At 63.4% G+C, this 21,110-nt stretch overlaps 1 protein-coding gene across 2 annotated transcripts, besides 11 other annotated features; it reads right to left on the bottom strand.

The window, feature by feature from the left end:
* Positions 1,010–2,006: an enhancer, noted in NCBI's record as "H3K27ac-H3K4me1 hESC enhancer chr17:81056168-81057164 (GRCh37/hg19 assembly coordinates)". NCBI's record gives its function as "activates a minimal SCP1, AML or CMV promoter by ChIP-STARR-seq in naive H9 embryonic stem cells {active_cell/tissue: H9 hESC(naive)}" and the evidence as "EXISTENCE:reporter gene assay evidence [ECO:0000049][PMID:30033119]".
* Positions 5,307–20,820, bottom strand: METRNL (meteorin like, glial cell differentiation regulator). 2 transcript variants are annotated; one of them, NM_001363853.2, is made up of 5 exons: positions 18,991–19,283; positions 18,358–18,494; positions 15,106–15,491; positions 7,203–7,262; positions 5,307–6,173 (listed from the first exon to the last, which is right to left on the bottom strand). In NM_001363853.2, the coding sequence occupies exons 3-5, from the start codon at positions 15,413–15,415 to the stop codon at positions 5,854–5,856; spliced, it is 690 nt and encodes a 229-aa protein (NP_001350782.1). In that variant the 5' UTR covers positions 15,416–15,491; positions 18,358–18,494; positions 18,991–19,283; the 3' UTR covers positions 5,307–5,853. The 2 variants fall into 2 exon arrangements, with proteins under 2 accessions (NP_001350782.1, NP_001004431.1); NM_001004431.3 differs by lacking the exons at positions 18,358–18,494; positions 18,991–19,283 and adding an exon at positions 20,444–20,820.
* Positions 8,664–9,299: an enhancer, noted in NCBI's record as "H3K27ac-H3K4me1 hESC enhancer chr17:81048933-81049568 (GRCh37/hg19 assembly coordinates)". NCBI's record gives its function as "activates a minimal SCP1, AML or CMV promoter by ChIP-STARR-seq in primed H9 embryonic stem cells {active_cell/tissue: H9 hESC(primed)}" and the evidence as "EXISTENCE:reporter gene assay evidence [ECO:0000049][PMID:30033119]".
* Positions 11,921–12,558: an enhancer, noted in NCBI's record as "H3K27ac-H3K4me1 hESC enhancer chr17:81045747-81046384 (GRCh37/hg19 assembly coordinates)". NCBI's record gives its function as "activates a minimal SCP1, AML or CMV promoter by ChIP-STARR-seq in primed H9 embryonic stem cells {active_cell/tissue: H9 hESC(primed)}" and the evidence as "EXISTENCE:reporter gene assay evidence [ECO:0000049][PMID:30033119]".
* Positions 12,559–13,196: an enhancer, noted in NCBI's record as "H3K27ac-H3K4me1 hESC enhancer chr17:81045109-81045746 (GRCh37/hg19 assembly coordinates)". NCBI's record gives its function as "activates a minimal SCP1, AML or CMV promoter by ChIP-STARR-seq in naive H9 embryonic stem cells {active_cell/tissue: H9 hESC(naive)}" and the evidence as "EXISTENCE:reporter gene assay evidence [ECO:0000049][PMID:30033119]".
* Positions 15,129–15,656: an enhancer, noted in NCBI's record as "H3K27ac-H3K4me1 hESC enhancer chr17:81042649-81043176 (GRCh37/hg19 assembly coordinates)". NCBI's record gives its function as "activates a minimal SCP1, AML or CMV promoter by ChIP-STARR-seq in primed H9 embryonic stem cells {active_cell/tissue: H9 hESC(primed)}" and the evidence as "EXISTENCE:reporter gene assay evidence [ECO:0000049][PMID:30033119]".
* Positions 16,556–17,114: an enhancer, noted in NCBI's record as "H3K4me1 hESC enhancer chr17:81041191-81041749 (GRCh37/hg19 assembly coordinates)". NCBI's record gives its function as "activates a minimal SCP1, AML or CMV promoter by ChIP-STARR-seq in naive and primed H9 embryonic stem cells {active_cell/tissue: H9 hESC(naive and primed)}" and the evidence as "EXISTENCE:reporter gene assay evidence [ECO:0000049][PMID:30033119]".
* Positions 17,115–17,674: an enhancer, noted in NCBI's record as "H3K4me1 hESC enhancer chr17:81040631-81041190 (GRCh37/hg19 assembly coordinates)". NCBI's record gives its function as "activates a minimal SCP1, AML or CMV promoter by ChIP-STARR-seq in primed H9 embryonic stem cells {active_cell/tissue: H9 hESC(primed)}" and the evidence as "EXISTENCE:reporter gene assay evidence [ECO:0000049][PMID:30033119]".
* Positions 18,268–18,850: an enhancer, noted in NCBI's record as "H3K27ac-H3K4me1 hESC enhancer chr17:81039455-81040037 (GRCh37/hg19 assembly coordinates)". NCBI's record gives its function as "activates a minimal SCP1, AML or CMV promoter by ChIP-STARR-seq in primed H9 embryonic stem cells {active_cell/tissue: H9 hESC(primed)}" and the evidence as "EXISTENCE:reporter gene assay evidence [ECO:0000049][PMID:30033119]".
* Positions 18,268–18,851: a biological region, named in NCBI's record as "H3K27ac-H3K4me1 hESC enhancer GRCh37_chr17:81039455-81040037".
* Positions 18,342–18,636: a silencer, noted in NCBI's record as "tiled region #6007; K562 Repressive non-DNase unmatched - State 14:Gen5'". NCBI's record gives its function as "represses a minimal TATA promoter and a strong SV40 promoter by Sharpr-MPRA in K562 cells {active_cell/tissue: K562}" and the evidence as "EXISTENCE:reporter gene assay evidence [ECO:0000049][PMID:27701403]".
* Positions 18,632–18,851: a silencer, noted in NCBI's record as "fragment chr17:81039454-81039673 (GRCh37/hg19 assembly coordinates)". NCBI's record gives its function as "represses an EF-1alpha promoter that drives an FKBP-Casp9 reporter gene in an ReSE screen in K562 erythroleukemia cells {active_cell/tissue: K562}" and the evidence as "EXISTENCE:reporter gene assay evidence [ECO:0000049][PMID:32094911]".
* Positions 20,821–21,110: the final 290 nt, after the last annotated feature.

Raw genomic sequence — 21,110 nt, 5'->3', positions numbered from 1 at the left:
AAAGTTCCTTGTTGGGCATTTTAGTCCAGCTCAGCAGTGCTAAAAGGGGAAAGAAAGGGGCGTTGGGCTGTTTCTGGGCGGAGAGTGCCGGGCAGAGTGGCTCCCGGCCCCTCACCCTTCCCTGGGCCCTCCACCCCTCCCGCAGCGCCCCTCCCCCTCACCGGAGCCCCCCGGGTGTATTTTTGTTTCTTTGTTTTTTAGCATATTTTTCATCTTGCCTCTGATCAAACTGATGGCTAGAAAAGTATGTGGCTTGGTAAGCAAAATTCTTCTGAAGAAATTCCAGAGCCCCCGGCCGCCGTGACCTCACCGCCCCGACACCAGCCAAGCCTCCGCTGTCTTTATAAATCACGGCCCGCCCGGCTGGCAGCACACAGTGGCCCAGTGTTGACTCCGGATTCCTCACGTTCCCTGGCGTCCCCCGTGGGGCCCCTGCCCCGGCGGTCGGGGAAGCAGAGCGGGCAGGCTGGGGGTCCCTGGGCGGCCATCCCCTCCCTGCTGGGTGAGCCGGCGTCCTCCCTGCAGGTCTGCGTCCCCACGTCCCGCCCCTGCCTTCCGCCCCTCAGAACCCCTGCCATAGCCGCACTGCCACGACCTCCTGCTGTTAGTGGCCGCCCCCACCTCCGGAGCCCGACCCACTCTGCTCCGAGGCTGCTGGGATGGGCACCCACCTGTAACCAAGTGTGAATAGCAGAGCCGGTGCTGGCTGCAGGCCAGACACCAGCAGGGCTGATCAGGCCCCAGGCCGCTCCTCAGGTGGGGGCAGGACCCAGTGTGCACCGGCTGAACCGGTGCCCACTGCAGGCTGGCACAGGGGCTGCACTGGGAACCAAGGCTCTGCCCTTCTCCCAGGACTCAGTCTCTGTGGGAGACCAAGACCCACAGCCCAGGCTGATGTCCTAGAGGGAAGACCTGGGGGTAGGGGGCACTGGGGAGGGGAGGCATGGGGCCTGGTGGGGGAAGGAATGGCAGGAGGGGAGGGGGTGTTGGGGGAATCCCACAGGAGAGGAAGGAAGAGGCTGAGGTCACAGGCACAACAAATCCCAGGAGAGCAGGGCCCAGGAGCACCCGGTGCCGCCTCAGAAGGCTCTCGGGCCTCTGCTCACAGCCCCGTGCCCCTCCTGGTATTGAGTGACCCACCTGCCGTCCTTCACAAGGGCGGGTTTAATCCCAGCAGGCAGGTTCCCAGGAACATGCCCGTGCACAGTAGGCCTCCCTCCATGCTCGCCCAGTGAGTGGTCAGGGAGGAGAGGACCCCGGGGTCTCACCAGCTCCTCTCAGGACCCTCACCATTTTGACCGCACAAAGGAGCAAAGAAGGGTTCCCGAGGGCAGCCAGGGCCGGGACCCCACCAACCGGCCTGACTGATGAACTCCGGGGGCCGCTGCCTGCACAGAAGGGGAGCGGACAGCCCGGCCGGGGCCAATTCCCACCACGCCGGCCTGGTTTCTAAACAGTTTAATCAATTAGCGAGGTGGAAGCCCTCAGTGTCAGCTGCAGTGCTAATGAGGGGCCCCACCCCCACCCGTGGGACCTGCAGCCGGACTCTGGCCCCTCAGCAGGGCCTCCCAGTGCGGTGGGGTGGGGACAAGGAGGGGGGCTGGGAACCCAGCTGTGCAGCCCCCGCCACAGGCTCAGCCACACGGTGTCCAGTGCCCGGCCCTCCCTGCAGCCAGCTTTCCTTCTGGAACCGCAGGGAACCTCTGACAAAGCCCTCCCAGCAGAGGAAGCTCAACTCACAGGATAGCCAGGAAGGGGGGGCTCCTCATGTGGAGGGAGTCGAGGTCGAGGGAGGATGAGGGGTGAGCCAGGACTGTCCCTGCCACCCCAGCGTCCCAGCTGACCCCTCTCTCTCACACACACAGAGACACATGTGAACACGGACCACATTCCTGCCCAACCTGAGATGGCTTGACATGCCGGGGCCTCGGCCAGCCCTGTGACGAGCTGGAAACCGAGTCACAGCTCCCATGGGGCCCAGCGTTTGCAGATGGGGGACCAGCATGGAGCTGTGGGCTCTGGTTGCTCTCAGCTTCTCTCTCATGGCCATCAGCCGACTGGACCCCAGGGTGAAAGGTGTAGGCGTCTGGGCATCCAACAAGCAGGAGGCCCCCCGCCACCCCACATAGGCTGCCCCCTCGACCCGCAGAGTTCTTGGAAAACCTCCAGGGCTTCCCGGAGGGAAAAGGGCAGGTGGAGGGGGCAAGTGGGGGCCGGAAAAGTAGGGGCAATCCTCACGCTGGGAGCAAGGAGGAGCCTTGCCAACTCCCCTCCCCTTATGGGGGGACTGACAGATACGGGGCTCCTGGGAGAAGCCACCGCCCCCGAGAGCTCCAAAGCCTCTGACTTGTCTTGGGTAAGTCTCACTGCTCTTGCAGCACCTGGGGGACGATGGGGGCCGCCCTGGAGGGGAAGCAGTTGCTGTCCGGTGCAGGTGGGACAGGACCAGGCGTTCAGCGAGGACAATGCAGGCTGCGTTGCAATCCGACGGCCTTTCTGGTTGCTCTCCGGGGATGAGTTACACCCTGAGCCCCAGCCTTCTTGCCTTCATGTGGAGCTCCCCAACCTTCTCTAGTAGCAAAGTCCAGTGAGCCAGGACCCCCTGCATTGGTGATGACCTAGTGAATCCAGGCTCCAGCCAGGGCAGTGTCTCCCCCTGGCCACCCTGCACCTCCCCCGCTGGACTCCCTCCCACCCACCCTGGCCTGCCCAGGTCAGATGCCCCCAGCAGATGGAAACCCTCAGGGCTGGGTGCAGCATTCACCCCTGGGGTGCCAGGCAGGGTCATGATATCAAGTCCCCAGGAAGGAGCTGGGGGTGCAGATCTGCAGGCAGGGGTGTCCTGCAGGAGAGAGCTCAGGGAGAGCCTGGAAGCCACTTCCAGATGCCGGGCTGCAGGCCTGGCTCAAAACCCACCTCCCCTGTGAAGCCCGCCTCAACCCTCATAGTTAGAAGTGAGTTCTGCACCCCCTAGCACCCACACACTCAACCTTGACCCTCTCTTTTTCCTCGGGGGACATGTGGATCTGCCCGTGTGCATGTTCACGGCCGTGGGCTCCTGCAGGAGGACAGGTCCCAGAGCTGAGCAGGCAGCTGGACCTCACAGCCCTGTCCTGGCCCAGCGGAGAGACGAGGCCCCAGTCCCCCACCCCGGAGTGGACACTTTCTGTTTGGTAAGCTTTGCCTTCCCCTAGACTCTGGACCAAAAACCCCCCAGCCCACAGGCACTTCTTAAAAAACAGAAGCCTCCCGTGAAGCGTGACTTCTACTCCACCTGACACCGGGTTCTGGCCTACCCCAGCATCCCTGTAATTGAGGAGAGGCTGCCAGCCTGAAACCCGACCTTCTTGTTCTGCAGCCTTCTCCTGTCAGTCAACACCCCCGGGAGCCAGCCCAGAAAACCCAGGTTCCAGGAGCAGATTCCCTGCCGCCCCGCTGTGGGCTGGGCACCTGTGCTGTGGCGCCTGCTGGCAAAGGTGTGCTGACCACCAGCCACAGTGGGACCTGGCCCAGCCCCAGCCTGCTGCTTCAGGTCCTCGCCCAGAAACACCTGCTTCTTGTTGTGACCTGTGGGAGCCTGCAGACCTGTGCTGGCTCAGATCTGAGCTGGTGCACACCTGAGCCAGTGCACACCTGAGCCGGCACACATCTGAGCCGGTACACACCTGAGCCGGTGCACACCTGAGCTGGTACACATCTGAGCCGGTGCACACCTAAGCCAGTGAACACCTGAGCTGGTGCACACCTGAGCCAGTGCACGGTACACACCTGAGCTGGTGCACACCTGAGCCGGTGAACACCTGAGCCGGTGCACACCTGAGCCGGTGCACAGCTGAGCCGGTGCACACCTGAGCCGGTACACACCTGAGCCAGTGAACGCCTGAGCCAGTGCACGGTACACACCTGAGCCAGTGCACACCTGAGCCGGTACACACCTGAGCCAGTGAACAGCTGAGCCGGTGCACAGCTGAGCCGGTGCACACCTGAGCCGGTACACACCTGAGCCGGTGCACACCTGAGCCAGTGCACGGTACACACCTGAGCCAGTGCACACCTGAGCCAGTACACACCTGAGCCAGTGAACACCTGAGCCGGTGAACATCTGAGCCGGTGCACACCTGAGCCAGTGAACATCTGAGCCGGTACACAGTGCTTACCCAGAGTGCCTGAGCATTTGGCAAGGCCGGCATGGTGCCCACTGACCACATCACCCTCTCCCAGGTCCCCTTTGCTCTTAGCGGCTGCACGGGAGGAACTGCCTGATTCATCAATGGGGATGCAGGCTGGGGTCTGGTTAACTGACACTCCCAGGGACCCCCTGTGCTGGGGCATGGTGTACCCCAAATTTCATGTCCACCAGGAACCGCTGAGTGTGACCTTATTTGGAAATGGGGTCTTTGCGGACGTAATCGGTTTAAGACGAGGTCACTGGTGTGGGCCCCAATCCAGTGACCAATGTCCTAGAGAAAGATCTGGACACAGACACAGGGAGAAGCCGTGTGGCCACGGAGGCAGAGACTGGAGTGATGCAGCCACCATCAAGGAGCACCTGGAGCCCCCAGAGGCCAAGGAGAAGATGAAGAGTCCTCCCCTGGCAGAGGAGAAGATGAAGGGTCCTCCCCCTGGCTGAGAAGATGAAGGTTCCTCCCCTGGCTGAGGAGAAGATGAAGATCCTCCCAGGAACCCCCGGAGGCTGAGGAGAAGACAAAGGGTCCTCCCTGGAACCCCCGGAGGCTGAGGAGAAGATGAAGGGTCCCCCCCTGGCTGAGGAGAAGACGAAGGGTCCCCCCCAGCTGAGGAGAAGACGAAGGGTCGCCCCCGGCTGAGGAGAAGACGAAGGGTCGCCCCCGGCTGAGGAGAAGACGAAGGGTCCTCCCTGGAACCCCTGGAGGCTGAGGAGAAGATGAAGCGTTCTCCCCTGGAGCCCTGGAGGGAGAGGCTCTGCCCACACCGTGACTTTGGATTGTGGCCTCAGGAACTCAGAGAACGAGGTTGTTTCAGCCCCGCAGTCGGTGGTGATTTGTTCTGGTAGCCGCATCCTTTGGGGACATGGGGTCACCAACCTGGGTTCAGACCAGCTCCTGGGCGTCTAGAGACTAGCTGTGGGCCCCTGCACTGTGGGCAGGCTGGGGCCACAGGGCAGGACCTGCATTAATGGAAATGCAGCAGCAGGCGCTGAGGGACAGTCGCCGGGCGGAGCAAGCGTGTCTGCCGAGGCAGGGTGGCGCCCTGGGGTACGTCCAGCGAGGCCCTGAACACGGGCCGTGGGCACCGGACCTGGCGAAAGACAGACTCCGGCTTCTGGCTGGTCGGATCCTCGTCTTTATTCTCGGGAACGGAAACAACCGGCGGCCTGAAAAGGACCAAAGCTCATCCTTTAAAAATAAAATGAAAATAAAAAACGTATTATTTGGCTCCAAAACTTCCGTCATGAGAATAACAACTCTGAATGGCACCTTTTCACACATCCACTGTGCCCAACGGCCAGTGCTTCACCCAACCGCAGGCCAGATGCCGTGACTCCTAACGTCTTTAGAGAACAGTATCAGACGGCACACCAAGGCGTTTTAAGACACGGGAATTTGTTTCCTATGGACATTTCTTTTTTACCAAAAAAAAATATAATAACTTAGTTTGCATTTTACAGCATTTCCAATCGGCCAGGGCATCCTTGGCTGGAAGCTCATGGGGTTGAGTGTGGCGAGAACGTCCACAGCTTCGGTACCAGGGTCAGGCCTGGGCCCAGGGCATGCGGCTCCCAGCGCGCGGCCCTCACCGCACGGCCCCACCAGGACCGCAGCGCCCACCGCAGCCTGTGACTCATCAGGAGAGGAAGGGCAGCGGCCCACGGAGTCAGTCCGTGCCAACCTCACAAGGGTTCAGCCCCCTCTCCTGGGCATCCCTGTACATCCTCTGGAAGTCCTTGAAGCGTGGGGCACAGCCGAGCCGCGCCTCCCCGAAGTGCATGTGGCCAGTGAAGAGGAAGTCGCCATGCCCCGGCCGCACGCCACACTCCAGCAGCGTCCTGACGCGCCCCTGCCAGTGGCCGTCACCCTCGGGCACCGGCTCGAAGACCCTGCTTTTCTGCCGATAGAGTCTGCTCACGCGCAGGTGGATGGCTGAGTCCTGCCGCTCAGGCTCGTGGGTAACTTGCTGGATGGAGCCTCGAACGGCTGTGCGGGGAAGGAGATGGGGACAGGGAGTGAGCAAAGGCAAGCACACAGCAAGACCACCGCACCTCCCCCTGCCCCCGCATCGATGGGCACTGGAACGGGCAGCTGACCCCCGACTCTGCCATCTAGCGTGGAAATTCCCAGAGAAAAGTACAATGTAACAGCAGAAAGCTGCCAAGGGGTGTCCCAGATACTTAGACATCGTCAGAGAACAGGTGCCCTTTCTACCAAGGGCCAGACCTGTTAAATGGGAAAACAGAACAAACAAGTCCAGCTGATACACAGGGTGCCCCTGCAGTTCTGTGTCCTGATCAGACAGACCCGGTGCAGCTCACAGGAGAGGGTGGGCATGGGGACAGCCTTCGCGCCACACTTGGAGACCCCTGCCCAGCCCCAACTCCATGCCAGGGGCCGGGAAAGCAGTGAGAAGGGGCCTGTCCTTGAGCTTGGAGGTGGGGTGCAGAGCCGGGGCCTGCAGGACATGGCTTCCACGGCACCACACGACGGGAGGCCAAACCTTTCCCACAGGGCGTCTGTGCAAACGCCACAAGCAAAGGGGCTGGAGCCCTGGGACCCCAAAGCTCCTCCTGCAGAGCCGCAGAGCCGCCGGGGGCCTCAGGCCTGGAACAGCGTGAACTCTGGTGGGGGGCAAGGAGTGTCCAACGCCAAGGATGCTCTGGGCTGCTGATAAAATGCTGTTTACAAAGCACTTCAGCAAGAAGAGCTGCTGGGAGACAGTGGACTTCAAGAGTCCCCTCGAAGAGCAGTGATCTCATTTACAAAATGGGAAAATGTTTGACAGTCACCAAAACAACCCCCAGCTCCCTCCAAGTGTGGGCGGTGGCGTCCCTGTCCCCAGGGCTGGTGGAGGGCCGAGCCCAGGGCTTCCACAGCGTGTGCCCCTCCAGGAGGGTCCACGCAGCACCGGAAGGCTGTCCTGGGCCCTGAAGAGGGACTCCTGGGCCCAAACAGCTCCATGTGGCAGAAACCAGGAGCACAGGAGGTAGAAGCTGCCGAGGAGACACTCACCGAAGTCGCTGGTGCAGACGGCTAGGAGCACCTCGGTGTCACTGCAGGGACGGCACGGCGCTGGAGAAGAAAGGCAGAGTCAGGAAGCAGCCTGGACGGGACAGGCTCTGGAACGCCGCCCACCACCGTCAAAGGATCCTCACACTCAGCAAAGCCAAGTCAGGGAGGGTGTCCACGTCAAGGCACCTTTGTGACCAACGCCACTTCAAATGTGAGTTGGCGGCACGTGCTGGAGGGGCCGGCAGCACGGGAGACAGAAAACACAACCTCGACCACGACGGGGTCTCACCCAGGGGACCCCTCGGCCCCACCTGGACCAAAGGCACCTGCACCTCGGCCATGATGGGCACATGTCCGAGAGCAAGACCCTCAGTCCGGCCATGTCCCAGGGCCTTCGTGGGGAGGGGTCTTTGTGCTCTTTCCCCACTTATCTCCTCAGTGCGGCTGAGCCGGACTCACTGAGAAATCGCTCACGTGCCTGTTGCAAATGCAAAGCCCACTGGGGCTGAACCGAACCCACCAGACAAGAGTCACCCCCAACCCACCTCCACAGCCCACGGCGCCGGGAGCACCCCCACCTCCCAGAGTCGCCCCCAACCCACCTCCACAGCCCACGGCGCCGGGAGCACCCCCACCTCCCAGAGTCGCCCCCAACCCACCTCCACAGCCCACGGCGCCAGGAGCACCCCCACCTCCCAGAGTCGCCCCCAACCCACCTCCACGGCCCACGGCGCCGGGACCACCCTCATTTCCCAGCTTCCTCGAAGGGCAGACACTCCCCACAGCTCTGCTGCCCACTTCCCTGGGTCGCGACGGCAGCGGCACCCAAAAGGAGGATCCCATCCCGCGGGACCCCCCATGTGGCTGGAAGGGCCAGCGAGGCCAAGATTCCAGGAAGGGGATCCCTAAGCAGGCAGCGACGCGTCCACCTGCCACCGGCGTGGGGCCTCACCCAGCAGGGCAGTGAGTTCCAGTCAGGGCCATCGGCCCGGCCCCTTCCCCGGATGCCACCTGGCCGCGGGATGAGGTGCATGCCCCAAATGGCTTTCAAGCCAAGCCCTGCTCACAGAACCCCCTCTGAAGCCCCTGAACCCTGCGGGGCCTGGCCTCCCCCAGAGAATGCGGAAAGCACGGAGGCTTCTCAGAATGAGCTCCCGTACCGGCCAAACCAGGCTTTCCCAACAACCTTCTCCCCTCGGCCCAGCCCTCGCCCTGCCCTTCGCCCCAGTTTCTTAGATGGGCGGGCCACTGTGAAACAGAAACCTCTGCACGCCCCGCATTCCTACACTCGGGACGGACTTGGAAAACATGGTTTTATTATTTGCTCTTATTGCAGGTTTCAAGGCCTCACCTGTTCTGAGCCTCTAGGTTTTGGCCCCAAGTCTCCTAACGCAATAGAAACTTTGAGACGTGAAATCTCAATGGCACTGGTTTCGCCGGTGCCATTTCACGTTCTGAAGGCTCTGAAACGTCCCTGGCCAAGAGCTGGGACGACCTTGACTTGGGGTTCGCCGGCCCTGGAAGAAGCTAACGCCGTCTGCACCCCTGGCCGGCTGCCCTTGCTGGGCTGAAGTGAGCTGAGCTGTCACCTGCCTGATGAGTACAGGCCCGAGCCAGCTGCTGGTGACTGGGGGTCCCAGGGGACAGGGCAGCACACATATCTGGCACCTTGGCCAAGGCGGGGACAGCTGCTCAGAGGCCTTCTGGGGTCAGGAACTTACATGGACCCTCAGGGCCTGCACATGTGGTCAACGGAGACCCTGGAGTCTACGGTGCACTGGGCAAGCGCAGGTCTTTGTGGACCCCGCAGGGTGGAGGTAGGAGGGACCCAGAGACAAGGCCAGCACTTTCCGCCAGGCAGGGGTGAGGGCGCCTCCCAGCCGGGCTCAGTGCCTGACTCACCGGCCCACCCACCTCCTCCTGCATTTGCTTCCATTAAGGTATCAGGAAAAAGAAACTGCACAGCCTGCTGAGCGCCTCGAGGCCCGGTCCAGCCTGGCACTGGGGGCGCCTCGAGGCCGGTCCAGCCTGGCACTGCTGAGCACCTTGAGGCCGGTCCAGCCTGGCACTGGGGGGGCACCTCTGCCATCCCAGCAACCCTCCAGAATGGGAGCTTCTGGCCAAATCCCCTTCCTGCTGATGTGTACAGACTCACACTGCAGCCCCCACCACGGGGGCCTCCTGACCCCCAAGCTGGAAGCCGCCCGGTGCGCTCTCCTATGGGGGCCCCGGGGTGTGGCCCACCCTTGACACTTAGTTCACCTATGTGGACCCCCATCCCACTCGCCGGCTGGGGGTCTGCAGACCATGCTGGGCCTGATGCAGGCACGTGCTGGACAGAGGCCAGCAGCACAGACCACCACTCACGTCCGGAAGCAACAAGGAGGGAGCACTGGGGGATCTCAAATTTCAGGCAGCACTTTTATCCTCCACAGGTGAGACTGCACGCCAGCACCTGCCCCGTACCACAGGGCCAGAGGTCCCAGCCCAGGGCGCCTCATGTGAGTGGAGGTGGCCTCGGCTGAGAGAGAGCTGGTCAACGACAGAAGCGTGGTGACCCCAGTCCACCCGAGGGTCCCCTCACTGAGCAGCACCCTCCGGCTGGGCAGCCATGGCAGCTGGGGCTGGGCCAGGCGGTCCTGCAAAGGCAGGAGGCAGGAGGTGCCGGAAGTCCATCCTCACAGTCAGCAGCACAGTCGGGGGTGTGTGTGGGGCGGGGGTGTGTGTGTGTGGGGCGGGGGTGTGTGTGTGTGTGGGGCGGGGGGTGTGTGTGTGGGGCGGGGGGTGTGTGTGTGTGGGGCGGGGGGTGTGTGTGTGGGGCGGGGGGTGTGTGTGTGGGGGGGTGTGTGTGTGTGTGGCTCCCACCCTGGGGCGGGGGGTGGGGGGTGTGTGTGTGGCTCCCACCCTGGGGCAGGGCGGGGGTGTGTGTGGCTCCCACCCTGGGGCAGGGCGGGGGTGTGTGTGGCTCCCACCCTGGGGCAGGGCGGGGGTGTGTGTGGCTCCCACCCTGGGGCGGGGCGGGGGTGTGTGGCTCCCACCCTGGGGCGGGGCAGGGGTGTGTGGCTCCCACCCTGGGGCGGGGCGGGGGTGTGTGGCTCCCACCCTGGGGCAGGGGAGCCCACAGGCCCAGCCACATGCGTCCCACCCCGGGGCCTGGGCGCGTGAGGGTATGCAAGCCCTAGCACTTCGCCCTCTGTGAGTCACGGCCCCACGACCTCAGCGGACGGCCGAGGGGGAGGATGGAGACGCTGCCCTCACGTGCCCTGGGTACCCCGCCCTGGCTCACCCGGCTGACGGCAGGGGTGTGGGGCCGGGGACGGTCAGTGCCTGCAGCCTCGCCTGCTAGAAGCCTCTGGAGACGACCCAACGACAGCTGAGCTCGTAAGGAGCACCCTGGAGACCTCCCTGTTCTGATTCTGAGCTTTACAAAGCAGAAGTCACCTTCACGGAGAATGCAGGGTGGACGCCGGTGGACGCCGGGAGACAATCGGGAGACAATTATTAACAGGAGCCAGGCTCATAAAGGCTGCGGAACGCGCTGCTCACGGACACATTGCACCTCGTCTCCAGGGCGGTGGGGAGGGTCGGCAAAGGGTTGGAATCCTGGTCCATCCTCCTCGGAGGGGGAGGGCTGGGGTGTGGACATCTCAGGCAGGTCTCTCAGGAGCTAGCATGAACAGGGTGGGAGGGACCGGCAGGGTGGGGTTGGGGACGCTGCTGCGGGGACTTAGATTGCACGGCAGGTGTTAAGTAGAGAGGCAGGACCGGCTGGTTCCGAGGAGAGGCTGAGAATGACAGACACCGACCGGTCCGGCAGGACTGCCCAGGTAAGGACAGCCAGAGGGACTCACACAGTTCCGACGGGAAACCTCTGTGGCCACGATTACTGGGTCTCCCACACAGGTGGTGACGGGGTAGCGGGGGGACACGCTGCTTTTAGAGGAGCCGGTGACGGGGATAAGGTGCTTTCAGAGGAGCCAAGAACAGGGAGCAGTGGGTAGGGGTGGAGGGTGGGCTCCAGTGGGCTCGAGGACCCAAGGCTGAGCTCCCAAGGCTCCCCTCAAGGCCACCATCATCACCGTCGCGCTGCGGCCGCACTCCAGGCTGCAGTCCATTGCTGGGGTGCCCCGGGGGTGTTGGCCCCATAGCCCCTGCCCTTCCCCCTGCCTCCCTTTCTCCCTCCCTCTTCCTGGTGAGGAAGCTGGCGGGGGCCACACCCTTCCTCTCCACAAGCCCAGAGATGGTTAAAATGAAAATTACAGTGGCCGGAGAGAAGGCACCAAGCAGGAAGCCAAAGATGGACGAGAGATGGGACGCCTTGGAAAAATCAGCCCCTCTCCTCTACTTCCAGGAAATAATGAGAATTATCTTCCACACTTTTCCACCCATCCCTCCCACCCATCAAGGACTTCTCCAAACTCTGAGGCTCCTGGAGGGGGCTCATCGGCAGGGGCTCTGCGCCCGCCGAGCTGGTCATTCACCTACGGGCTCAGCCAGGGGCAGGATTTTAAAGGGGGGAGGCGTTGAGGCCCCTGAGACGCTGCAGGACTCCGGCGTCCTGGAGAGCCAGGGACGGCACCACGTGCTCATGATCAGCATCAAGGCAGCATCCCCTCCCCTCCCACTGCCTGTGTCCACGATGCTGCTGCCCGGCCCTGGGCACCTGCTCACTGGGGCCTGCATTGGGGGGCCTTACACAGAGCCTGCACCCCAAACCCCAAGCACAGATGTGGCCAAGCCAGGAGCATCTGACACACAGCCCTGGGAGAAGCTGAAGAACAGACTGGAATCCTGGGACCTGCCTGGACTGTCTCGGGTCTGTGTACCCCAGAACCAGACAGCCCCCACCCACATTCCCCAAGCCACTGAACGGTGCCCGTTTCCCGGATTCCCTGGCCTGCAAACAGCAGCCCCACACGGCCTCAGCCAGGTCTGCTGGGCACAGGTCTGGGCACGGCCGGAAGCTGCACCTGACCACTCTCTGCCACCCCCATCCTGCGGGGTTTCCTCAGCATCCAAGGAAGGCGTCCGTGTCGCCTGCAGAGGCGGCTGGTGCAGGGCTGAGAGGTCCTGCCCGTAGTCAGCCAAATCCCAAGGTCCTGGGGCCGGGTCCCCTCCCGCCTGGCCCCCAGTGTGTACCCCTGGAGGAGCAGCCTGCCCCCGTGTTCCGGCCAACTCTTGGTCATCGGCGTGTCTCAGTTTACTCAAGGAAGCCGATTATGCAGCATGAACGCACCACGATCACACCAACGAAACCCACCGGAGCGGGGGATTTCCTCCTGGCTGGGCAGGGGACGGGGCTCACACACCCTCTCCTGTCCGGGGTTCCAGCCCACGGAGCCTCTGTCCTCCTGAGTCAGCACAAACTGGAACTTCTGACACACAGACGAGCTCGTCCACCTCCCGTGGGTCGTGCTGCCAGGCCAAAGGCTCAGGCTCACCTCAGGCTCGGCGGGGCTGGCGCTGCCCGGCTCAGCCTCCGTCGGCTCTCGCAGCTACAGCAAGTGCAGGAACGGGAGGCAAGGGAAACCGCGGCGCTGGCCGGAGAGTGCTGGGGAGCCGGCCTGGCCCAGGGGATGGCGTCACTGCTGCCAGACGGCCGGCACCGACATTCCACATTATGTACCCATTCCTGCAGCATTAAAGGCTTAGGGGCCCCCGTCCCCTGATGAAAGGCGAATACCCTGGGGAGAGGAGAGGTATCAGCCTCCTCGGATCCCTCCTGCCCCTCCACCCCATCAGGATAGGAGAGGCCTCTCGTGAGGGCCCTGGAGGTGCTCAGCCCAGGGAGGGGCCTGCATCTGTGCCCGTTCCCGTGAGATGCCAGGCGTGGGTCCCAGCTCCGGGGGCCCCCGGTGAACCTCAGAGTCTGGGCCCCTGTCAGTTCCGAGGATCCCTGCATGTCTGCTTCCTCGGATAAGCAACCCACCACCCACAGGGCACTGGAAATCACCTCAGGCTCGGTTTAAGCAGATGCCGCAGGGTCACCAAGTGTAAACAAGGAAACCCAAGCACCTGCCTCACAGGACACAGCAAAGTTCTGGGACCCCAAGCCAGCCTGACGTGTACTGGGGCCACAGACCTGCGCAGGACCCCACAGGCCCAGGAGGCACACGGAGGGTGAGCGAGGACCCACCGCCGAATGCCTGCTCTGGTCCCTTGGGGCTCAAGTCACTCCTCACAAGAGGCCGCTGCCTCCCTGCAACCCCACAGGACCCCAAGGCAGCTCAGCCCCTACCATCCCATGCCTCTCCCAAACCCACCCACCGCCCCAGCCTACACAGGGCCTGTAGGCCTCGGACCCCACCCCCAGAGGCAGGAGAGACAAAGTCTCTGTTCCCAAAGGTGAGGGCACAGGCTCCGTAAGGGTCGCCCCAGCTGACAACTAGAACCATTGAATTTCCCCTGGAAATGTAGAAATCGGGCCTGTGCCAGTGTGGACGTCCAGGTGTGCGTGGCAGGGACGGACTACACCACAGCCTCTCTAAGAATCTCACCCAGAAGCAGAACAAAGCTCAGGCCACAGAGCATGTGACCCGCAGCCCAACGTCTTCAAGACCAATCACCACTTTAATCAGCAGAAAGAATGTTTGCAAGTTCCTAACATCTGGCCCGGCACCTTCTACCTCCGGTTAGAAAGACTGAACTTGGAGCTTGGATTTCTCCAGGTTTCGCCTCATTGTGAGTTTTTCTCCAGGGCCCCCAGAGCAAGGCTGGTACCCCCTCCCCCAGGTCTCCCACCCACCATAACTGTTGGTGACCAAGATAAAGGCCGCCGTGGTTAAAGTTTTATCCAGCGTGCAACCAACCACAGCACAGCTGAGTTTACATCAGCGTCCAGCCCTGCGGGTGCTGAGGCCCAAGGGGCAGTCTGAGCTCATGGGCCAGCTGGGACTCGGGGCAGTCAGGACTCCAGGCAGACGGTCCTACACTCACTCTGTAAATGACCAGTCTACCTGGGAGAGATTTCAGAGAGAGATGAAAAGTAATCTAGGCCAAGAACATAGAACACAAAAATGTGGATTCCCATTCAGGATAGAAGTCTGTACACCCGAGTCCGAGGCCACACAGACCATGGAGGTCACACGGCCCACAGGTGCCTCCCAGGACCTCATGCCTCCTGGTGTCTACCCACAGAATTTTCTAGAGACCAACACAGCCCTCCACGAAGGACCTCTCCCCCAAGCACAGGCGTCCAGAGACGCCACGTGACACCTCCACTCCCTGCCGGCCACACAGGGAAGCTGTCTGTTTATCGTACCCACAAGACCCCTCTGGGACGGGGGTGGCCCCATGTTCTGGGCGTCACAGCTCAGCACCGCTCAGGGCTGAGCCAGCCTCAGCTCCCACCCAAAAATGGACGTTTCAGGGTCTTTAGCCGACACCACAGACACCCAGCCAATTCCCAGGGCAGTTTGAATGGCAAAAGCACCCGTTTCAAAGGTGCTACACGATCCACAAGCATGGGGGCGCGTCCGACCCAGCACTGGCCCGGCCGCCACAGGGGGATGCTCACCATGCTCCCCAGACACACCTCCAGGGAGAGAGGCCCCGCTCGGCCAAGGCCATGCCGCCCGAAACACTAACCCAGATGGGCCAGTCTTTTCAAAGGTGGTTTTAGTTGGAAAGGCTGCATTTCCAAGATGGTTTAGTTTAGACATCCCACACCCCCCTACACCATGTCACACCCCCTAGGAGGGCCCCTCTGCGGGCGCCAGTGTCCCCCAACCCCAGCCACCTGGGGGGCTCTTCAGGCAAAACAGTCATGTCCGAAGCACAGACACAGAAGGGTTTTCACCAAGGCTGAGCAGACGAGGGGACAGGAAGAAATCAGAGACACCTGCCACATCACCAGCCCCGTGATGACGAGGCCCGCCGCCCCCGCCCCAGGCAGGACACTCACCAGACAGCTCGTGCAGGTCCGACGCCCTGTGCCTCCTAACCAGCTCGTACTGGAAGCCTGTGGTCCTCCGGCCGATATCCTGCTGCGGCGTGGCCTCCACGAACAGGCCGCCCTGCTCCAGGCCAAAACACTGCACCCGGCCGGGCCTGCCGTCCCCGTCTGGTACCAGCAGTCTCAGTTCTCCAGTTTTTTCCAAATAAATATTGGCCCCCGAGGAGTCCGTGAAGGACCTGATGCACACGGTCAGGTGCCGGGCAGGCGAGAAGGTGTTGGGCCGCAGGTTAACGATGAGAGCACCTGTTGGGTACATCCACTCCACGGCACCCGCCGCACAGCGCAGATACACCTGCTCCACCTCCTTCCTGTGTGCCTCGTGCGTCAGCCCGCTGCAGAGGAGAGACACTGTCAGCCAGGCCCGGAGCTCCCGTCACACACCCCACCCGCACCCACAGAGAGTCAGTGAGGACGATACCCGCTCCAAATGATGGCGGCTCCTGGACCCACCCGCTGCCGGCCACAGGTGCCACACGGACCCCTGCCCGTGAGGCAGGCCGGCGCCATCTCCGCCCTTCGGCACAAGGGCCCCACCCAGTTCCTTCCAGTGCACCTGCACCAAGAGCCATGGTGGGGCGGGGCCGAGCTCCCGGGAGTGCAGGCGGTGCTTGTCCCCAGGCCCTCCAGACACCCTCCAACACTCAAGAGTCTGCGCCTCTGCTGCCGTAGCGTCAAACACCAATCTCTGCGATGTCCCTGAATCAGGGTGGCTGGAGGTGCTGGGGCAGTGGGATGGAGCCCCAGGGAAGGGATGGATTCCTCCAGAATATCACGGAGTATCACAGGAATGCCAGCAGGCCCTGTGTACCAACCCTGGTTCCAGATGACCACGAGGGCTGGGACGCTAGAGGTAAAGCGAAGGTGGGGCCCCACCACGTGTGAAGGAGGAGCCCTGGGATGCAACCTGCCCAGAGAGCAGCTTTTAAGTTAATCCAGAGTGTTGGCAGTTTGGGGGGAAGGAGGTTGTAGATGAGTTTTGTCTTTTAGCACCTCATTAAGCATAGATGTTTGTACATTTCTCAAAGTAATGACTTGACCGTTTTCTGCAAGCCTGAAGACCCTGCACTGCCGACGGTATTTGTAAATATAAGCTATCATTACAGCAAGACTCACCACAAAAGCGAGGCGAACTTCCTCCACAGGGTGAGTAGTGTGTGAGTAGCAAGCTAAGTTCACCCTCATACATGCTAAACAGAAAAAAATGAAGTGTGCTACACTCTTGGAGAGGCAGGTCCTGAGTAGAAACAGTTATATTTTCAAGAAACTGAAACATCAAAACCCTCACGCTTCTCAACACTTTAACGTAAATGCCAGCTCGTGGCTAACAGCCACGTCATAACCAAGTGGGCCTGGAACTAACCCGGTGACTTCAACTAAGTGTTTTATTACGCAGATCTCAGACAGGTTCACCCACATTCTTAGGATTTTTATGTGAAATAAGCAATGCTGTTTCCAGAGCCCTGGCCTGAGCGAGTCACCAGAAACCCTTTCTGCAGCAGAGAAAATGCATCACATATGGTTTGCATTTACCGCTGGTGACTCACACTCTGGGCCCCCAAACCTCACTCTTCATAGGCTGCAGGCCACATCAGAGGGTGGTGTCGAGGGTGCACCCCTCCTCACCCTCTCCCCACCCCGACAAGGCCCCAGGTCACGAGTGGCCAGGCCTAGCCGGCTGCCAGGATCACACACCCAGAACAGACTCACAAATTACAGCCCATAAAGCTCACACAAGCTCATCTAACACGTGTGTGGGCAAGGGCACGATGATCGTGCTGTGTGGAAACTGGACTCGGTGAGTGGCTGATACACTCAGCTACAGTCAGCTCTCTTCTTATGCAGCCTCATCGTCACGTCTCTCCCTCCCGTCTCTGGCATCGAGGCCACTGTCCTCCTGCCCGTGCTCAGGCACCGAGCCTCGACCCTCTCTCCACATACACCGTCCTGACACGTTGCCTCCCTCTCGGGGAGTCCTGAAGGTCGAGGGAGCGGGCTCTGGTCACCTCTGACAGCACTGCCTTCATCTGAGCAGGCGAGGGGAACAGCCACAACTCAGCTGGGGACAGGCGGCCAACCCACCTCTGCCCAGGAGGAGGCCGACTTGAGCCTGGGGGCCGTCCTGGCCTAGCACATGCTACCCGCATCTGGTGGGCACGCCTGGCTCCACCCACTCAGAAGACACTGGGCAAAAAGAGGAAGAGGACAAAATGAAGGTGGACACAGAAGAAAGAAGACACCCGGCTACCCCGGCCTTCACCTGACGTCTTCTCAGCGCACTCAGACGGGTCTGCACCCAGCACAGGGCCTGCTCCCCTCTCCTCTCACATTCTCCCGAAACATCCAGACCAACGGGACTCCAACCAGACCCGCTGACGTAGGGATTTTCACATTAAAATCAGTAGCACATGATGCGCAAGACCCGTGTAGACAAAAAAAGTTAAACGATGCATCCTTCAGCCTGGGACCCAGCAGACCTCGGCACGAAGTCCGAGACTCATGGTCTGTGCTGGTTCCTACCAGAAAATCGAGTGCCTCAAATCTCTCACCTCCAAATATCCAGCACCTCAGCAAACCTGAAAACAGAGTCTGTTTATGCAAAATTGCTGGCATTGCAAAAATGTGACCTATCTTTAATGGTCATGGATGAGGGCATTTTGTGATTTTCACGTGAGATGCAGGTGACACAGTTCTGCTGTGATAAAACTGAAGCGTGCAGACAAAACCGTGGTTCGTTCAACTTTAGGAAACTGACAAGGCTGATCTGATGTTGGATCAACAGACTGAACAGATACACTTTTAAAAGTCAGCAAGGGTTACCACCCAGGTGGACATGCTTGTGGGGCACCTTCATGGAAAGGAGGGCAAATCCCAAGTGGATAAAGGGACTCACTGAAGGGGGGCGCAGGTGCACTGGAGGGTTGTTGAGGCACCAGCCCACACACCACAACTCTGGGTCACCAGGACAAAATGCCCGGCTCCTGTATGAAAGTCAGGAAGGGCTTCGAACCCACTGGCAGGTTAACTTTCCTTTCCCCACCTTGCAGGAGAGACGAACCAGGTGTGACCGCACCTGCGATGCCCGGGCTGACAGCAAGTGGGAAAGTTCATGGTCCACATTTATGAGCACTGGCTGATAAAGACGGGGCGCTGGTCCCGCCTCCCCCCACGGAAGGGAGGTTTCATCATCTCCTACTTAACTGCTTAGAAGAAACACCCAGCAACAGAGGCCGTCGATGCAGTGGCCAGTGTCATGAGGGGCAACTTTCCAGCTATCGGGGGATGAGAATCCACCCAGCACACCAGCGCTCGCTCCACCCTGTGCTTCGTCAGGACAGCTGGTAAAAAGTCACAAACACCGGAGGGTAGCAGGCAGGCCAGCGCACTCCGGTTTCCACAGCGAGTCTCTGTCACTGATTCGTGACGTGTGTGGATCAACGGGGCAGTGACCACAACAAAAGGAAGTCTCACTTACGCCCCAGAAACACAGCCGGGCCCCGTGTCCCCTCCAGATCACACCCGCAGCTCCAGCAGCCCCCACAGCTGCCCTCTGCCAGGCTCTGCAGGTGTGTGTGTGTTGGGGGGGGTCCCCTGTGTGTGTGTGTGGGGGGGTCCCCTCTGGGGAGTCTGAGGCCAGGACTGGCAACGATGGCGAAGAGGGCCTCCAGGTAGACAGGAGGGTGCGCAGGTCCTGGAGGGCAAAGCACTCCTGTCCCGCTGCTGTCACCTGCCTGGAGGAGCCGCCCGCCCCTGGAGGTGGAGGGGTGGCCTCCCCGCCACCCTCGGCTGCCTACCGCGCCCTCCCTTCGGGCTCCGGGAGGCGCCCCCTCCTACCGGGCACACAGTCCCCTGACACCCTGAAAAGGGCGCCGGCCCCTTCTCGACACACTCGGCCTGGGTGGCGGGGGCGGCGTTTCTGGCTTCGGTCTGCTGGAGCGGAACGCCCCGGGCCTCGGTTCGGGGATGCACCGACCCGCCGGGCAGAGGCAGCGAGCCGGGGCTGAATCACTCCGCGGGGGCAGGGGCGGCCCCAGAAGAGCCGTCGGCCTCGGAGGCTCCCGGCGCCGGCGTTCCCGGCCGACCCCCCCCAGACCTCCATCCGCCCGCGGCCCCGCTCGGCCGAGAAGGGAGGCGGCCGCTCCCGGGACAGCCGGGCACCGCCCACGGCCCTCGGGGCGACTCTGCCCCCCAGCGCCACGCCCCTTCCCCCGGGGAGGCTCCGCCGGGGGCGCTGGGGGGCGACTGTGGCTTCGCGGGGACCCGGAACGGAGGCTGCGGCTGCGGGGAGACCTGCGCCCGCCCCGCGGACACCACCCGCCCCGCACCGGCTCTGCCCCGACCTTCTCGGAAAACAGCTTCGCTCGACATCACCGCGTGACTCGGCCCGCGGCGGGGGCGGGGGCGGGGGCGGGGGCCGCGCCGAGGGGAAGCGGGACCCAGGCCCGGGCCAGCCCGGCCACGGCTCTCCGGGAGGCGCGCGTCACTCGGGTCCCCGCGCATCTGCGAACCCCGGAACTGGCGACTGCGAGGCTCGCGCAGGGCGGGTTCGGCCGCGGTGCCCTCGGCGCCCTGGGCTTCGCGTGGGAGCGGCGGCGGCTCCCGAGGGGCAGTCGCGGTCGGCGCCGCTCTCGGCGGCCACGCTTGAGTCAAAAAAAAAAAAAAAAAAAAAAAGTCCTCGGCCGCCACCGCGGGTGGGGGGGGGGGGGGTCGCCCAGCGCAGCGCGCGCCGCGGCCAAGGGCGGCCTGACCTTCACGGGGCAGGGGCGGGGGGCCCGGCCGGAGCCACACTCGGCCCGGCTCACAGGTGCCCGCCCGCGGCTCCCCGAGACGGAAGTGGCCCCCGCTGCGGTCCGCGCCCGATCCCCGAAACCGCCGCTCCCTCCCGCGGCCGTCCCTTCCCGCTCTGGCCCGGGGCGGCCTCGGGGCGCGCAACTCCCGGAGCCTGCCAGGAAGGGCCCGAGGACCGACCCCCGCCTGCCCCCGGGATGGGGTCGCGGGACCGGCGGCCCCCGAGGCTCGGACACGCGCGGAGCCGGGACCCACCCGGCCGCGCTGCAGGCGCGCCTCCCCCGGGCGTCCTCCGGGCCGGGAACCGGGACGCCGCGGGCTCTTTTGTTCTAGAACCGGGGGCGGGGGACAGCGGGCACCGGACTGGGCCTGGAGAGCGGCCCCCGGAGCCCCTGCCCCGCGCCCGCCCCCGGCCGCGCCCCCGCACGCTCGGCCGGCCCGGGACGGGAGGGGACGCGAGGGGAGGGGGCCGGGCCGGGGTCGCGCCGCGCACACTCACCTCCCCTTCCAGCTGCACCGGTCGCTGGAGTACTGCGCGCCCGCGCCGCCCAGCAGCCCGGCCAGGAGCAGGAGCAGCAGCGGGAGCGGCGGCGGGGGCGGGCCCGGGGCGGGGGGTCGCGGCCACGGCTGCCCCGCGCGCCCCCAGGCCGCCCGCGCCGCGCCCCGCATGCTCTGGCGCCGGCTCCGCCGCCCGGCCCCGCGTCCGCGACCCCCGGAGCAGACCCCGGAGCCGGCGAGCCGGGCGGGGGCGGGGCGGGCTTCGAGTCCGGGTGGTCACGTCGCGCGCCCCCCGCGTCCTCCGCGCGGCCGCCCGCCCATCCCGGCCCGCTGGAGCCGCGCGCAGAGCTCCGCGCCCGCCGCCGCCGCCGAGCCTCTGAAGTTGGCGAGTCCGAGTCCGCCCGGCCGGGCTCAGCTGGGGGGTGGGGCCCACCCGCCGCCCCGCCCCGCCCCCGACCCCGCCCCCGACCCCGCCCCGCGCCGGAAACTCCTCCCGGGGCGCCCGGCCGGACGCGCAGACACCGAGTCAGCAGCGAATCGGGGGCGCGGGCGCCGGGGCGGGGGGCGCTGCAGGAGGAGGGGGCCGCGCCGGGCGGCGAGCGGGGTCCGGAGGGAAGAGCCCGGCCTGGAAAGCGGAGTCCGGGGCCGGAGGGGTTGCAAGGCGAGGG

This window comes from Homo sapiens, chromosome 17 (genome assembly GCF_000001405.40).
Source record: "Homo sapiens chromosome 17, GRCh38.p14 Primary Assembly".
Classification (NCBI taxonomy): domain Eukaryota; kingdom Metazoa; phylum Chordata; class Mammalia; order Primates; family Hominidae; genus Homo; species Homo sapiens.
Note: the sequence above shows the minus strand (reverse complement) of the source record. Positions and strands in the feature narration are given on the sequence as shown.